The sequence below is a fragment of the Homo sapiens genome, chromosome 14 (genome assembly GCF_000001405.40).
Source record: "Homo sapiens chromosome 14, GRCh38.p14 Primary Assembly".
In the NCBI taxonomy this organism is placed as follows: Eukaryota; Metazoa; Chordata; class Mammalia; order Primates; family Hominidae; genus Homo; species Homo sapiens.
The window spans coordinates 64,972,822-64,989,932 of NC_000014.9; the positions used below are offsets into that span (position 1 = coordinate 64,972,822).

General features: G+C 45.5%; 2 protein-coding genes and 1 long non-coding RNA gene across 4 annotated transcripts in view, besides 2 other annotated features; 2 read left to right on the forward strand and 1 right to left on the reverse strand.

Annotated features, from left to right (window-relative positions):
• The window catches only part of CHURC1-FNTB (CHURC1-FNTB readthrough), a 148,295-nt gene that overhangs the window by 58,461 nt on the left and 72,723 nt on the right, over window positions 1-17,111 (forward strand). The window lies entirely within an intron of this gene.
• Window positions 1,852-2,629: an enhancer, noted in NCBI's record as "OCT4-NANOG-H3K27ac-H3K4me1 hESC enhancer chr14:65441391-65442168 (GRCh37/hg19 assembly coordinates)". NCBI's record gives its function as "activates a minimal SCP1, AML or CMV promoter by ChIP-STARR-seq in naive H9 embryonic stem cells {active_cell/tissue: H9 hESC(naive)}" and the evidence as "EXISTENCE:reporter gene assay evidence [ECO:0000049][PMID:30033119]".
• Window positions 8,702-9,203: an enhancer, noted in NCBI's record as "H3K4me1 hESC enhancer chr14:65448241-65448742 (GRCh37/hg19 assembly coordinates)". NCBI's record gives its function as "activates a minimal SCP1, AML or CMV promoter by ChIP-STARR-seq in primed H9 embryonic stem cells {active_cell/tissue: H9 hESC(primed)}" and the evidence as "EXISTENCE:reporter gene assay evidence [ECO:0000049][PMID:30033119]".
• Window positions 12,718-14,292, reverse strand: LOC107984655 (uncharacterized). Its single transcript, XR_001750792.2, has 2 exons — window positions 13,859-14,292; window positions 12,718-13,778 (listed from the first exon to the last, which is right to left on the reverse strand). It is a non-coding gene; the product is annotated as an uncharacterized LOC107984655 (long non-coding RNA).
• FNTB (farnesyltransferase, CAAX box, subunit beta) overlaps window positions 14,074-17,111 on the forward strand; it is a 75,756-nt gene continuing 72,718 nt past the window's right edge. The window contains exon 1 of the mRNA NM_002028.4: window positions 14,074-14,276. Within this exon, the coding sequence (NP_002019.1) occupies window positions 14,133-14,276 (144 nt within the window). The 5' untranslated portion in view covers window positions 14,074-14,132. The remainder of the gene's footprint in view (window positions 14,277-17,111) is intronic.

The following is a 17,111-nucleotide window of genomic DNA, read 5'->3' on the forward strand; positions in this document are numbered from 1 at the left end:
TGACTGTGTCACGGCCCTCCCCCGTCCCCATTTTTTCTTTAAATGGGGAAAATGCCTATTCACGGCCTCCACCAGGGTGAAAAGATAGATGGCCATAAGAACATCTCCAAGTGCAAAATCCTTTAGAGGTGTGCGGGCAAGTCTCCGTTTTCCCTCTAAGGTGCTTAGGATAGGTGCCCAGGTGACCAATGTATTGTTTCAGACCCCTAAATTTCTCTGTGGTATAGCCAGTGGCACCAAAGAATGAATGGCCCTTGTTCAAGATCCAGTTTCCTACCACTGAATGTGTTAGCACCGGAGAGAGGCAAATGAATGCTCTCCGGAGTTGAGAAAATTGCCTATCCCTACCAACGAGTATTGAGGGAGAGCAAAGTCTAGCCTATTAGGTCTTTAAAAAGCAATGAAAGGCTAGGCGCGTTGGCTCATGCCTGTAATCCCAGTACTTTGGGAGGCTGAGGCGGGCAGATCACTTTGAGGTCAGGAGCTGGAGACCAGCCTGGCCAATGTAGTGAAACCCAGTCTCTACTAAAAATAAAAAAAAATTAGCTGGGCACGGTGGCTCGCCTGTAATCCCAGGCTTGAGAGGCTGAGGTGGGAGGATTGCTTGAACCCATTAGGGGAAGGCTGCAGTGAGCCGAGATCATGACACTGCACTCCAGCCTGCGCAACAGAGGGAGACCTTGTCTCAAAAAAAAAAAAAAAAAAGCAATGAAAAGTATATATGTACATACCTGTTTTCAGGCTGAATATTGGATGGAGAATGTATTTTTCAATAGTAGGTCAAGGAAAGTGGTAAGCCCATTTACTTCATTTGAAAAGGTATATTTCAGGTTAAGTGTCTGAATTATAATAAGAGGGGAAAAGTTCAAGACCAGCCTGGCCAACATGGTGAAACCCCATCTCTACTAAAAATATAAAAAAATTAGCTGGGCGTGGTGGCCGGTGCCTGTAATCCCAGCTACTCGGGAGGCTGAGGCAGGAGAATTGCTTGAACCTGAGAGGCGAAGGTTGCGGTGAGCCGAGATTGCGCCATTGCACTCCAGCCTGGGCAACAAGAGCAAAACTCTGTCTCAAAAAAAAAAAAAAAAAAAAGCCGGGGGGCGAAATCCCGAGCCTGCTAGCTACTCTGATTACACAGAAAGCTAAAGGAACTGATGTAGTGGATTCCATTATTTCGAGGTGCGCGTCTCCACAGTGGGCTTACATGGGGTTTCAGGTGCATGCCAAGGGCTCTGGAGTAAGGCACACTTGGGTTCCAGTCCCAGTGTCACCACTCACCAGCTGTGCAATCTTGAGCACATTACTGAACCCCCCTGTGACTCAGTTTCCTCATCTCAAAATAGGATATTTAGAGTGACTACCTTACAGGATTGCTGGAAAGATGAAATAAGATAATGCATGGAAAGGACAGGCCGTCGCGGTAGCTCACGCCTGTAATCCCAGCACTTTGGGAGGCCGAGGCGGGCGGATCACGAGGTCAGGAGACCATCCTGGCTAACATGGTGAAACCCCGTCTCTACTAAAAATACAAAAAATTAGCCCGGCGTGGTGGCGGGCGCCTGTAGTCCCAGCTACTTGGGAGGCTGAGGCAGGAGAATGGCGTGAACCCGGGAGGCGGAGCTTGCAGTAAGCCGAGATCACGCCACTGCACTCCAGCATGGGTGACAGAGCGAGACTCCGTCAGAAAAAAGAAAAAAAAAGAAAGGACAGCATAACACTTGACCCAGCACTCAATAAAGCAGAGGTGCAGAAAACACCCTGTAATGTTTCCCCTGTGCATCCCGGGTGGTAAGAATATCCCACAGATGAATATGGCCAGGGATGTTTTCTAGGAACCGAGGCCCAACCTGCTGTGATTTTCCTCCCACGACCACCAGAGTACCGAGCGCAGATCCAACCCAGCCTGACCCCCTTTGGGCACCGCAGCTGCCTTCCCATTGATCGGCACTGTAATGGTAAATAGCTCTCTGCAGGCCTCCTCACTGGGACCTTTAGTGGCTCTCTGCTTGCTTCTGTCTGAGAAAACAGGAAAGAAAATGCAAGCTGACGTGGATTCCTCACTTCATTTTGAAAGAAATGGCTTTCCCTAGGCAAGACAGGAAAGGGAATGAGGTTTGCTGAAGGAATCCAGAGAAATAAATGTTCATACTCATAAAAAATTGAGCATATGTAGTCATACTGGACTGACCTCAAATTCAGTAGCTTACATTGCTTTAGAAAAAAAAAAAAATGGCTGGGCGCGGTGGCTAACCCCTGTAATCCCAGCACTTTGGGAGGCCGAGGTGGTCAGATCACCTGAGGTCAGGAGTTCGAGACCAGCCTGGCCAACAGGGTAAAACCCCATCTCCACTAATAATGCAAAAATTAGCTGGGCATGGTGGCGCACGCCTGTAATCCCAGCTACTCCGGAGGCTGAGGCAGGAGAATCGCTTGAACCCGGGAAGCAAAGGTTGCAGTGAGCCAAGATCCTGCCATTGCACTCCAACCTGGGCGACAAGAGTGAAACTCTGTCTCAAAAAAAAAAAAAAAAAAAAAAAAAAAAAGGAGTGTATGTAGTCATACTGGACTGACCTCAAATTCAGTAGCTTACATTGCTTTAGAAAAAAAAAAAGACCAGGCGAGGTGGTTCATGCCTGTAATCCCAGCACTTTGGGAGGCCAAGGTAGATGGATCACCTGAGGTCAGGAGTTTGAGACCAGCCTGGCCAACATGGTGAAACCCCATCTCTACTGGAAATACAAAAATTAGCCAGGCCTAGTGGTGGGCGCCTGTTATCCCAGCTACTCGGGAGGCTGAGCCAGGAGAATCGCTTGAACCCAGGAAGTGGAGGTTGCAGTGAGCCGAGATCGTGCCACTGCACTCCAGCCTGGGCGACGGAGCAAGACTCTGTCTCAAAAAAAAAAGAAAAGAAAAGGCCGGGCGCGGTGGCTCACGCCTATAATCCCAGCACTTTGAAAGGCCAAGGTGGGCAGATCACAAGGTCAGGAGTTCGAGACCAGCCTGACCAACATGGAACCCTGTCTGTACTAAAAATACAAAAATTAGCTGGGCGTGGTGGCACGTGCCTGTAATCCCAGCTACTCAGGAGGCTGAGGCAGGAGACTCACTTGAACCTGGGAGGTGGAGATTGCAGTGAGCTGAGATCACACCACTGCACTCCAGCCTGGGCAACAGAGCAAGCAAGACTGTCTCAAAAAAAAAAAAAAAAAAAAAAAAAGAGATGGGGAATAGTTTAGAAACCAAAACCCAAGCTTCAAATATTCATCCTCATCCTCATCTGTGTTCAGCCACTTTCAGAGCCATCATACAGATCTCTCTGTGTGTCTATGTGTGTGTGTGTCTATATGTCTGTGTGTGTGTTTTGTGAGATGGAGGACCTAAGATTTTGGGACAATGTTAGCAAAAGAATCATATAGATGGCCAGGCGCGGTAGCTCATGCCAGCACTTTGGGAAGCCAAGGTGGGTGGCTTACCTGAGGTCAGGAGTCCAAGAACAGCCTGGCCAACATGGCAAAACTCCATCTCTACTAAAGATACAAAAATTCGCCAGCATGGTGGCGCACGCCTGTAATCCCAGCTACTCCGGAGGCTGAGGCAGGAGAATCCCTTGAACCCAGGAAGCAGAGGTTGTAGTGAGCTGAGATTGCACCACTGCACTCCAGCCTGGGCGACAGAATGAGATTCTGTCTCAAAAAAAAATAAAAAAAAAAAACATATAGACTAGTGGAGACAACAAAGTTCACTTTAACCCGGTCTTTGTAAATGAAATACCTAAATTCCATCCCCTTACCTCAGTCACTCAGTGGAACATTTTGGCATCCTCCCCATTTGTGGTCAACTTGGACTGGGGCACATTTCAGTAGAACTGGGAGACATCTGAGGAATGGTTGCTGAACATCTTTTCCACTAGAATCCTCCTAGAATCAGTCTCTCAATTATGTGATACTGATTCTTCAACCAGGGAGACAAGTGCCTGCCCCCATCCACCCCATCCCCACCCCAGCCACACTGAGCATGCACCCAAAGGCACCACTGTGGGACCTGCCATAGCAACAGCTGAACAGCTGGAGAGTTGCACCAATAGGCAGTCCATCACCAAGACTCAACGCGGCTGGACCATGGGGCTCCCCGTTAGTGAAACACCCGCCTCTTCTAGACTTACCCTGTGTTTCCTACTCTGGGGGACTGTTAGTGATGTGCCCGCGGTGCAGAAGGATTTCCTCCTTACCTCGTGATTGAAAGAAACAGGACACATCCCCTCTACCACGGTCTCAGTACTGTCCTCCATTCACATGCTTTTTCTTTGTTTTCCCCTGACTAAATAGAGAATGGAGGAAAGATACTCAAATGACAAGGAAAGAGGGGAGGAGGCAAATTATCAGAGACACGTGCATTTGAGGGCTGGGAACCACAGGAAACAATTCTGATGGTAATTGATGTTGACACAAAATGACCCACAGTACCATTTCAGGTTGTCCTTAGTGTCCTGGCCACCACCTTCATGACTGCATCAGTTTTCTAGGGATGCCATAACAAAGTACCAGAGACTGGGTGGCTTAAACAACAGGAATTTGGCTGGGCGTGGTGGCTCACGCCTGTAATCCCAGCACTTAGGGAGCCCAAGGCGGGCAGGTCATGAGGTCAAGAGTTCGAGACCAGCCTGGCCAACATGGTGAAACCCCGTCTCTACTAAAAATACAAAAATTAGCCAGGCATGGTGGCCCATGCCTGTAATCCCAGCTACTTGGAAGGATGAGACAGGAGAATCGCTTGAGCCCAGGAGGCGGAGGTTGCAGTGAGCCAAGATCACGCCATTGCACTCCAGCCTGGGCAACAGAACAAGACTCCGTCTTAAAACAAACAAACAAACAAAAACACACACAAAAACACCAGGAATTTATTTCCCACAATTGTGGCAGTCAGAAGTATGAGATGAAGGTGTCAGCAGGGTTGGTTTCTCATGAGGGATCTCCTTGGCTGTAGATGGCTGTCTTCACGTTCACATGGTGTTCCACCTGTGCCTATCAATGTCCTAATCTCTTTTTTTTTTTTTTTGAGACGGAGTCTCACTCTGTCACCCAGGCTGGAGTGCAGTGGTGCGATCTCAGCTCACTGCAAGTTCCGCCTCTCGGGTTCACACCATTCTCCTGCCTCAGCCTCCTGAGTAGCTGGAACTACAGGCGTCCGCCACCATGTCCGGCTAATTTTTTTGTATTTTTAGTAGAGACGGGGTTTCACCCTGTTAGCCAGGATGGTCTCGATCTCCTGACCTTGTGATCCGCCCGCCTCAGCCTCCCAAAGTGCTGGGATTACAGGCGTGAGCCACCGCGCCCGGCCGACATTGTTCTTTATAAGATCTGCCTTGCAGGAAGGATCAGAGAGAGTGCCTGCCAACCAAAGACAAAGAGACGCCATACCCCAGGTCTCTCACATATCAGGACTTATAGGGTCTCCTTTTTTACCTAACTATACACTTAAGACCCCTCTAAGACTGCCTTGTAGACAGCAGGGGAAGAAGGGCTCTGTCAACAGGACAGGGGAGAGTTGACCCTGTAGTTCTAAATTAGCAGACTTGAAAAAGATTGTTTGAAAGGAGTAGTAATAATATACATTGGAAAGATGTCACTAAATCTGTCCAGAAAATTATTTTGAATCTACAAAGGGATACCGTTTGTCCAGTGGAGTGAAACACTGAAAGAGACCTCTTTGTTAATTGAGGTTTTTAACTTCTAGAACATGTGGCATGACGTTCTTTTGATTATGGAGTGTAGGGGTGGGTTGCCCCTACACACCTGTGGGTGTTTCTCGTAAGGTGGGACGAGAGATTTGGAAAAGAAAAAGACACAGAGACAAAGTATAGAGAAAGAAATAAGGGGACCCGGGGAACCAGCGTTCAGCATATGGAGGATCCCGCCAGCCTCTGAGTTCCCTTAGTATTTATTGATCATCTGTGGGTGTTTCTCGAAGAGGGGGATGTGTCAGGGTCACAAGACAATTGTGGGGAGAGGGTCAGCAGACAAACACGTGAACAAAGGTCTTTGCATCATAGACAATGTAAAGGATTAAGTGCTGTGCTTTTAGATATGCATACACATAAATATCTCAATGCTTTACAAAGCAGTATTGCTGCCCGCAGGTCCCACCTCCAGCCCTAAGGCGGTTTTTCCCTATCTCAGTAGATGGAGCATACAATCGGGTTTTATACCGAGACATTCCATTGCCCAGGGACAGGCAGGAGACAGATGCCTTCCTCTTGTCTCAACTGCAAGAGGCATTCCTTCCTCTTTTACTAATCCTCCTCAGCACAGACCCTTTACGGGTGTCGGGCTGGGGGACGGTCAGGTCTTTCCCTTCCCACGAGGCCATATTTCAGACTATCACATGGGGAGAAACCTTGGACAATACCTGGCTTTCCTATGCAGAGGTCCCTGCGGCCTTCCGCAGTGTTTGTGTCCCTGGGTACTTGAGATTAGGGAGTGGTGATGACTCTTAAGGAGCATGCTGCCTTCAAGCATCTGTTTAACAAAGCACATCTTGCACCACCCTTAATCCATTTAACTCTGAGTTGACACAGCACATGTTTCAGAGAGCACGGGGTTGGGGGTAAGGTTATAGATTAACAGAATCTCAAGGCAGAAGAATTTTTCTTAGTACATAACAAAATGGAGTCTCCTATGTCTACTTATTTCTACACAGACACAGTAACAATCTGATCTCTCTTGCTTTTCCGCACAATGGAGGGCTACCCCAGGCATTGACTTTCACCTGGCAGAGAGGGGAAGCGAGCAAATAGAGGATCGCATGAAAGGTTTTAAAGGGTCAGGTCTAGGTGTAGTGGATATCACATCTTCCACTTTTTATTGGCCAGCACCCACTCACAAGCCTCTGCCTAAATGCAAAGGAGACTGCTGAGCAGCCACTTCCCAGCTGCAACTCTCCCTGTGGAAGGGGAGCCAGTCTCTGGTGGACAGCTCATGTTTCTACCACATACAAAGAAGCTTCAAAGTGGCTCCAACCCTAGCTGTGAGTCAGCATCACTTGTGGAGCTTTGACAAAATGCATGTGCCTGGGCCCCAGCCCCACAGATTCTGATTTAGTTGGTTGGGCTGGTGCCTGGGAGAATCTGGATTTTCGAAGGCTCCACCAATGATCCCAGTGCACAGCCAGGCTTGAGAGTCACTGGTATGCCTTACAGTGTACACCTCTGGCATTGCCTCTCAACAGTTTAAAAAAAACTTTTTTTTTTTTTTAGACAGACTCTTGCTCTGTCACCAGGCTGGAGTGCAGTGGTGTGATTTTGGCTCACTGCAACCTCCACCTCCCAGGTGCAAGTGATTCTCCTGCCTCAGCCTCCGGAGTAGCTGGGACTACAGGAGCACACCAACATGCCCAGCTAATTTTTGTATTTTTAGTAGAGACAGGGTTTCACCATGTTAGCCAGGATAGTCTCGATCTCTTGACCTCGTGATCCACCCGCCTCGGCCTCCCAAAGTGCTGGGATTACAGGCATGCGCCACCACACCCAGCCAAATAAAAAATCATTTCTTAGAGTTTTCAAGGTGAACAATGTTGTTTAGTTGGCTTCCATTTTGTATCTGCTGGTAAAATATTCACCATGATAAACCCAAAACAGGACTGTGAGTCAATACTTTTGCACAGGTTTTCAGTAATAGAGTATATGTAATGATTAATAATATATAATGTAATTTATTTCATATCAACATACAACACAATAAAATAATGCAGCCATGTAGTATTGATGATTTATTGATTTCTGAGAAGCTCACAGCTGTTCTTTGTGCCATGAAATCATTGTACTGCATTTAGAAAGCTATTCTTTTGTTTTTTATGATTGGAAACATTTTATATTCCATTTTGTGTAATACAGAACATTTTAAAATACATTTCACAATTTCTAAATTTCGATATAATTATTAAAAAATGATTACTTCAGACTAGTCTCTTACAAATGTTACTAAACACAAATATTATACATAAAAGGCCATCTTCATTAAATAGATTAGAATGAATTACTCCTTCAGCTACATTCCCACTGTAAGAGAATACATTCTTGGGGAATATATTCTGTGTATATGTATTATGTCTTATTTTATGTTTTTATCATTTATATATATTTTTCATTTTTAATCTTTTCTACTTAATAGATTTATTTATATTTATACTTTTATTTTATACTCATTTTTATTTACATGGTCTCTGTAGTTATTAGATAGTGAGCTCTTGAAAGATAAGGCTAGTATTATGTTCATTGTCATTATCATCTACAATTATGTTACACAAACAAGCACTCAAATGTTCATTACAATGACTGGAAATCATTTGAACCATTTAACTTATTCAGTGTCTATTATGTCAGGGAGTACAGCAATGAATAAAACAGACCAAAAAAAAAAAAAAAATCCCTGCCCCATAAAGCTTACATTTTGGTGGAGAAAGACAGATAGTAAACAAATCAATACACAAAATATAAAGTCTCTGATCTAGTGATGAGAAAAATAAAGCAGGGGAGTGAGATTAAGCTATTACCAAAGGGGGTGGCACTCCCATTTTACATGGGGAGGAAGGAAAGATCTCAAGAAAAGGGAAATTGGGGTTAGATTAAAGAATTTGGGCCAGGCATGGTGGCTCATGCCTGTAATCCCAGCACTTTGGGAGGCTGATGTGGGAGGACTGCTTGATTCTAGCAGTTCGAGACCAGCGCGGGGAACACAGGAAGACCTCATCACTATAAAAATTTTTAGAAAAAATAAATTATAAAAAAAAGAAAAAGAAAAAAAGAATTTGAGTAAAAACTATAAGAAGGGAGGGCAATCCGTGTCTATGTCTGGGGCGGAGCTCTGCAGGGAGAGGCAACACAAGCATCAGTGCTCTGAGGCTGCAGCAGGAGAGGTGTACACAGAACAGCAGGGAGGCCAGTGTCAAGGCAGTGAGCAAGCTGGAGAGTGCAAGGGAAGGGGCCAGAGAGGTGAATGGGGTTCTCTAGGCCACCTTGACTTTGAGATGAGAAGAGAGCTTTGAGTGAAGGGGTGGCTTTGCTTACATTTTTAAAAGTTCAGTCTGGCTTTTTCATTTTGTCTTGGATCTTTGAGGCTGCTAGAACAGAATCCCATACACTGGGTACCTTGTCAACAACAGAAATAAAGTCCAACATCAAGGCACCTGCAGATTCGGTGTCTGGTGAGGGCCTGCTTCCTGGCTCATAGGTGATGCCTTCTCTATGTGTCCTTATATGGCAGAAGGAGTGAGGGAGCTCTGTGGGGTCTCTTTTATAAGGACATGAATCCCATTTATGGCAGCTCGGCCCTCATGACCCAAACACCTACCAAAGGCTCCACCTTCAAACACCTTCATATTGGGGATTAGGTTTCAACATATGACTACTGGGGGCACCTAAACATTCAGTCTATAGCAAGTTTGTATTAGGGTACAGGGGGACAAGAGTGAAAAGAGGGAGAACAGTTAAGAGATTAGTGTAAGAATCCAAGTAACAGATGATGGTGGCTTGGACCAGGACACTGGCAGTGGGATTGGTAAGCAGTGATCAGATGCTAGATATATTTAGAACAGAACTTACAAGGAGTGAGAAAAAGAGAGGCAGCAAGAATGATTCCAAGGTATTTGGAGTAACTGGAAGGATGGAGTTATCATAATAGAGATCGGGGAGACTGAGTGCACAAGTTTGGAAGGGAAGACCAGCAGCTCTGTTGTGGATATGTTAAGTTTGAGATGCCTATTGGAGATCTAAGTGGAAATGCAAATAGACATTAGACATGAACTCTGGAGTTCAGGAGAGATCCAGGTTGGAGATACAAATTAGGGAGTTTTCAACCTATAAGTGTTATTTAAAACATTGAGACTGCCTGAGCTGACAGGGAAGTTAGTGCAGACAGATAAGAAGTCTGAGGACTGAATCCTGGGGTACCCCAAGCTAAGGTATCCAAGATATTAGAAAGGCAAGGAAGGAGGAAAACCAGTGTGAGGCACCACAAGGACAATGTGTTTCAAGAAGGGAAATGATCAACTGTGCAAATATTGCTGGGAAGTCAAGAAGGAAGACTTGAGATCAGGACTGAGACCTGGCCCTTGGATTTGGCGATATGGAATTTAATGGAGAGTTGATAAGAAACGATTGGAAAACCTGATTAGAATGGGCTTGAGAGAGTTGGAAGAGAGGACCTGGAGACGTTAGTAGTAGCAAATCTTTCAAGGGTCTCCGCCAATGAGTCATCGGGAGGTAGCTGGAGAAGGAGTGGAATCAAGAGGGTTAGAGATGCACCCCCCCCCACCCCCTCATAGCCAGGCGCGGTGGCTCATGCCTGTAATCCCAGGACTTTGGGAGGCCGAGGCGGGCGGATCACGAGGTCAGGAGATCGAGACCATCCTGGCTAACACGGTGAAACACCGTCTCTACTAAAAAAAAAAAAAAAAAAAAAAAAATTAGCCGGGCGTGGTGGCGGGCGCCTGTAGTCCCAGCTACTTGGGAGGCTGAGGCAGGAGAATGGCGTGAAACCGGGAGGTGGAGGTTGCAGTGAGCCGAGATCGCGCCACTGCACTCCAGCCTGGGCGACAGAGCGAGACTCTGTCTCAAAAAAAAAAAAAAAAAAAAAGCCCCTCACCCTCCACGCTGCCAAGAATGAGAAAATGGCATGCTTGAGGGAGATCTGGATGATCAAGTAGAGGAAAAATTTGGTGTTTTAGGAAAGGAAAGGGAGAATTGCGACAGTCTTTGGGGGGTGGCGCGTGAGGGGAGGGAGATGACCTGGTCCTAGGTAGGAGATGGGGCAGTCATTCCATCTAGGGGAATAGGAGGGACAGGACCGCCGAGTAGGAGGGCACAGATGATGGTGGGCAGTAAACTTGGGGAGGAAGTTAATTACCTAGCGGGATAATAGATGAGTTCTTTCCATTTTCCAAATGTTCCAATATGTATTACTACACAGTTTCACAAGATATTAAAGGAAACAATTCATTCCGACATACGGCTTGTATGAGTGAAAACAGGGAGAACGGTGAGAGCAGTTTTAAAACTTACTCCCTAAACGCACTCCAGGGTCGGAAGCGACCTCTAGGGGTTCATTTAGACCATTACTTTTTTCTTTTTCTTGCTCTTAAAAGTATAAAACAGCACGGTCCACATTTAATATTATTTTTAAAGAAACACGATCAGTTTAATTTAGAAAAGAGTATCAGGCATGTGAGTAAAATAAACATAAACCATCTGCAGTCCAAGCTGGAGTTGCTATTATCATGACTAAGAGTTTTCTCTCTAAATATATCATTCTCTATAGCACCATTAATATTTATGTTCATTCTGCTTCTTGAATGAGTGGTTTTATTAAACCAAGAGGAGGGACAACTAGTGGGCTATTTGATCCAGGTCTTCTTGATGCTTACATGGAGTACAAACCCCACATATTTTTCATTGCTGGTTTCACTTGATTTGGTGTTGTCACTGGGTTTCCTCTGCCTGGGATGTTCTCATCCCCTGGATTAATTAACTCACTTCCTCATGGGAGTCTTTCCAGACCTTCCAGGCTACCTTAGGGTCCCCCCATCATGCAAGCTCACACACTCCATGCTTCTTTCTGCCTCATCCCATTTCTCCCAACTGTCATGAAAGAGTCAATTCTGTCATTACTGTTTAATGTTTTTTCTGGTAAGTCATGAGACCCATAATGGCAGAGACTGTGTCTGGCTTGTTCACTGCTGTCTCCTTAGCACTTAGCTCAGTGCCCAGCACTTACCCTGTACTCAATAAACATTAATTGAATGAGAACACACTATCCTGCCGGAGACTCTTGCCCATGTTCCTATTCACATCTTTTGGATCCCACTGCAGAGGAGACTGAATTTCAGAGATGAATTTTTATTTCTAAAATACAGTTTGCAATTGCTTTAGGTGCATCTGTGACAGATGCAACAATTTGTCACAAAACTGTCCCAGCTATTCTTTCAATAGCACAGTCTTCAGGATTGAAGCGTTAAGTTTCCAGCTCTCCTGCAAAGAAACTCTTTGTGACAAAGGCTGAATCCTTAGATATAACCCTGACCTTATCAGACCATTTATTTCCCAAAATATAACTAAGGGAAAGACAGTAAGATGCCAATACAGGGGGCAGTATAATGAGACCATTTCACATTGTGCAGCCTTATCCATGGGTCCTAACCCATACTGTCCCCTTATTTCCAGATTTGGTAATATTCTGGTGCCTCTAGGTCTTAGTTCAGCAACAGTACCACTAAAATGGACATGGTGGTAGTATTTATCCACCTGAGGTCTTTAGGCCAGCCCAGCCTCATCTTTGAAATTTTTGTGAGTGCTTCTATTTACTACCAGAGACTGAGAACAGGGGAATGGCTGGTTGTCAAATGTCACTCTGGTCTATAATCCCTGGATCCTAGACATGTGACATGGAATGGAGTGGGAACAGAGTGAAGTGCTCTGAGCAGGAAGTAAAGCTTGTCTCCAAGTGTACCCGGAATGTCTGTTATCATACCTTCTATAATCTCCTACATACAACTCCCCCAGTTTAATCTCTTGGTATTATAATTTTTGGTGTAGTACTTTTGATGCATGCCCTAAAATAAATTCTCTTCTATTGCTTGTCCAAAGGTAGCAGCGTTTTCCTAAAAATCACAACTTTAAACTTGGTTGTTCTGGAGGCAAGTGTGATGAGTAAGTCCACTCCATAAGAATCAATAAGAATTTCTTTTATTCTAGCTGGGCGTGGTGGTGAGCATCTGTAGTTCCAGATACTCAGGAGGCTGAGGCAGGAGGGTCACTTGAGCCTATGGTTTTTGTTTGTTTTTTTGTTTTGCTTTTTTTTTTTTTTTGAAACAGGGTCTCGCTCTGCCACCCAGGCTGGAGTGCAGTGGCACAATCATAGCTCACTGCAGCCTCGACTTCTTGGGCTCAAGAGATCCTCCCACCTTAGCCTGTCGAGCAGCTGGGACTACAGGCATGCGCCACCACGCCCGGCTAATTTTTTTGATATTTAATAGAGATGAGGTCTTGCTATGTTGCCCAGGATGTTCTAACTCCTCAAGTGATCCTCCTGCCTCAGCCTCCCAAAGTGCTGGGGTTACAGGCGTGAGCCACCGTGCCCAGCACATGTCTTCTAAAAGCTGCTGTTTCTTCCTTTTTCAGGAGTTCTTTCCCATACTGTTCTTCTGGATGACTCCTCGTCATCCTTCGGATCTCAAATGAAAGGTCATTTAGAGAGGCTTGGCCTGACCATACAATTCAATTAGTTTCTTACCCCTTTAGTCTCTCTCATAGACCCTGTTATTTTCCTTCATCTCATTTATCACAAGTCTTCATATATTTATTGCGTTGGATACATTCAATTCTGTCGATTTTCTTAGAATGTAAGGTTTCCAAGGGAAGGGACTTCGTTTTGTTCACTTTTGTATTCCTAGAACCTAGCACAATGCCTGACACATAGCAGGTGTTCCATAAATATCTGCGGACTGACTGTCTATTTCACTTATCCTTGTTCCTTGTACTGCATTTCAGTTCTCGCTACTGCAGTGTAACCTCCAAGAGACAGGAGAAAATCATAATACCCCCCTCCCTCCATCACTGAGTGATACTGAGACGGCGTCCTTGCACGTTTGAGCAGCTGCTGCCTTCTCCTGGGAGGCTGTCAAGTACCCCAAGGTGCACAATAATTCTTTTAGTAATTGCCTGACTGAGGCAAATCAGTAGAGCTGTCAGAAATGCTTTCAAACTTAACATTCATTGGGTTCTTGGGCACCTGAAATTGCAAACAATTGCATTACAATTAAGTGAGAATTAGCAGAATGTTACAGTTCTTTAACAATTTGCGTAACAAACCGAGGCGTCCTACGCCATCTCGCTGAAATGAAATTCGGATGTAGACACCCTTGCGCTTCAGGACTCTACGCTCTTGCAGCAGCTCCTCTGCCCAATGGGGGGCGGCAGCATCTCAGTAACTCACTCGAAAGACGGGTAGGCGGGAGGAGACATTCGCGTTCAAAATCTTTTTGCCTCTATCCGCTCGCCGTAGCGCTTTAGCCCGCTCGAGTTTCAATGCGCGTTGTTGCTTAACGAAGCAGAGTCCTACACACTGTCTGCTGCTCTCCTGATCATGGCTTCTCCGAGTTCTTTCACCTACTATTGCCCTCCATCTTCCTCCCCCGTCTGGTCAGAGCCGCTGTACAGTCTGAGGCCCGAGCACGCGCGAGAGCGGTTGCAGGACGACTCGGTGGAAACAGTCACGTCCATAGAACAGGTGAGGTGGCAGGACTGGGCGAGGCGCCCGCGCGATGTGTTCTGGGAGCGCGAGTCCCGTTCGTAGGGCCGCCCGGGTGCGGAACTCACCGGGGAACTACGACTCCCACAGCGCACCGCGGTGCCTTTCCTCTGGGAAGCTCCGGGCGCCCAGGCTTGGGCTTCGTCGTGGAGCGTTTGCGCGGCCAGCTTGGGGAAGGGTCGTTTCAAGGTTGGGCTTGGAGGAGAGGGCAGTAGCCGAGTCCCCTCTGCCCTAAAGAACGAGAAGAATCGTGTTCTATGCCTGGAGGACAGAGGCAGCCCGTGCGGGTCGGACAGCCCACTCTGTTCTGCCAGTACTTCGGGAGGTTCTGGGGTGCATAGTGCACTTTTCCCAACCTGCCCTCAGCTTCTGGAGGCAGAGAGCAGGGCCAGGCTGCTGTCATGCCGTTTCACGATCTGTTTAATTTTTGACCTACAGTGCCAGGTTTGGGGGCCCGCCTCGTGGGTGGGCATTTTGGTAGTCATTCAGCCATTTGAGCACCAGCTACGTGTCGGACACAATATTAAACGATGGAAGTACAAGGAAATAAAACAGCTCCTGACCAGGAGCCTGGTTGGGGGACAGGCAGGAAAACAGTTTGGAAAGTGATCTAATAGAAAGAATGGATTTTGGACTACTAATCATTCCCTAAGGCCTAGAAGTAGGATCGAACCTATCATTTTGAAAAGTGTTTGGCGAATGAGTATATATTCATATGCCCAAAACCATAGTTTTGTTTTTCTTCTTATTCCCTAATTGGAATTGTTCCCAAGGTTGCTATGTGGAACTGTTTATCCATCTGTCCCTAGGAGAAGTGGTTAGGATAATTCTTAACACTAATAAATGAACATTCTGCTGCTTACTGAAATAAGATCTCTTAGTGAGATCAGTCTCCAGGCTTTACCTTGGAGAGACCTGTTTTGTATTTCCTACTTTAAGTTGGAAGCCTGTACTTTGGCAAAATTAGTAACAATAATTGTTTTATTGTACAGTTATGACTAAATAGAATTATAAATTTATAACAGAAACAAGGGCTTGATACGTGGTTATTCACAAAGTAGCAGAGAAAATATTTTAACTGGAGATTTAAACTTCATGGAATTTAGGGTAGCAAAGGAAATCCTCACCTCTCGAATCTAGCTAATTCTCCAGGTTGGTTTGCCTACCAGTGTGTCCCAGGGAAGGCTGACTGCAAAAGATTGTAAAGAAATTTCCCATTGATGAAAAACCTACAGGATCTTTGCAGAATTCCTAAATGATGGATTGCTGAGTTGATTCAGGTCAAGTGTTTTACTTATTATCTGACCTTAGACTATGGGATTGCCTTTTTTTTTTTTTTTTTTTTTGAGATGGGGTCTCGCCCTGTTGCCAGGCTGGGATGCACTGGCTTACTGCACCCTCCGCCTCCCGGGTTCACGCCATTCGCCTGCCTCAGCCTCCAGAGTAGCTGAGACTACAGGCGCCCACCACCACGCCTGGCTAATTTTTGTATTTTAGTAGAGACAGGTTTCACCATGTGGCCAGGCTGGTTTTGAACTCCTGACCTCCAGTGATCTGCCCTCCTCGGCCTCCTAGAGTGCTGGGATTACAGTCGTGAGCCACTGCTCCTGGTGCGAGTATCTTTCAAATCTAGACCCAACGGTATGGCAGACAGTAAAGAATCTTATATTTCTTTTTCATGTTGTTATTCCAGCACACATTATTAGAGTCTAGGATGAACAGTTTCAGGTAGTAGGATGATAATGTTGTATCTCATTTTTGTGGCCTTCCTCACTGTTTTAATAATCATGTTAGTGACCATTTATTGAGTCTCAGCACAGTGCTAAATGCTCTCCATATGTGGTATCATTCAATCCTTTCACTTTTTATGGATGAGAAGACTGAGGTTTAGAGACCTACCACATTGGTAGGTTAATGATACATTCATCAAAAGTAACAACCTTGTTAGGAGGAGTTGTTTACAGAGGATATACTAGTACTCTTTCAGTTTTAACTAAAGCTTCCATTTACTGATAGCTCAATTTTGTGCCATTGCCAGTAAAAACAAATTGATGGCTGACACCTGTAATCCCAGCACTTTGGGAGTTCGAGGCGGGAAGATCACCTGAGCCCAAGAGACCAACTTGGGCAACATAGCAAGACCCTGTCTCTACCAAAAAAAAAAAAAAAAAAAAAAGTAGCTGAGCGTGGTGGCATGCACCTGTAGTCCCAGCTACTTGGGAAGCTGAGGTGGGTGAATTGTTTTTGAGCTCAGAAGTTCACAGATGAGCCATGATCGAGCCACGGTACTCTAGCCTGGGCAACAGAGTAAAACCCTGTCTCTTAAAACAAAAAACGACTATACTGATTTTGGTACTGGCCTGGGCAACATAGCAAGACCCTGTGTCTATTTAAGATGAAAGCTTTTCAAATTAAAAAAAAAAACAAACAAAAAATAAATGCTTGTTACCTGCTTCCTATCTGATTATCAGAAGACTCGGTTTATTTGTTAAGCAATAATTTGGTAATAGGAGTTAAACCTATAAATAGTGGAAGGAGTCCTTAGCTGTGAGTCGTCTGTTCCATTCGTTGATTCTCATTCATTCAGCAAATACTTGAGCGCCTTCTACGTGCCAGGCACTGTTCTAGACACTCGGCATAAGTTGTTAAACAAAAGAGGCCAAGTTGATGCCTTTATGAAACTGTTTCTAGGCCAATGAGGCAGTCAATTAAAAGAGTTAATATCTATAGCTATCTCAATATAAAATGTTAATTAGAAACGCTGTGGAGAGTAACACCTTGGGATAGAGGGGATAGGGTGTGTCAGGAATGGGT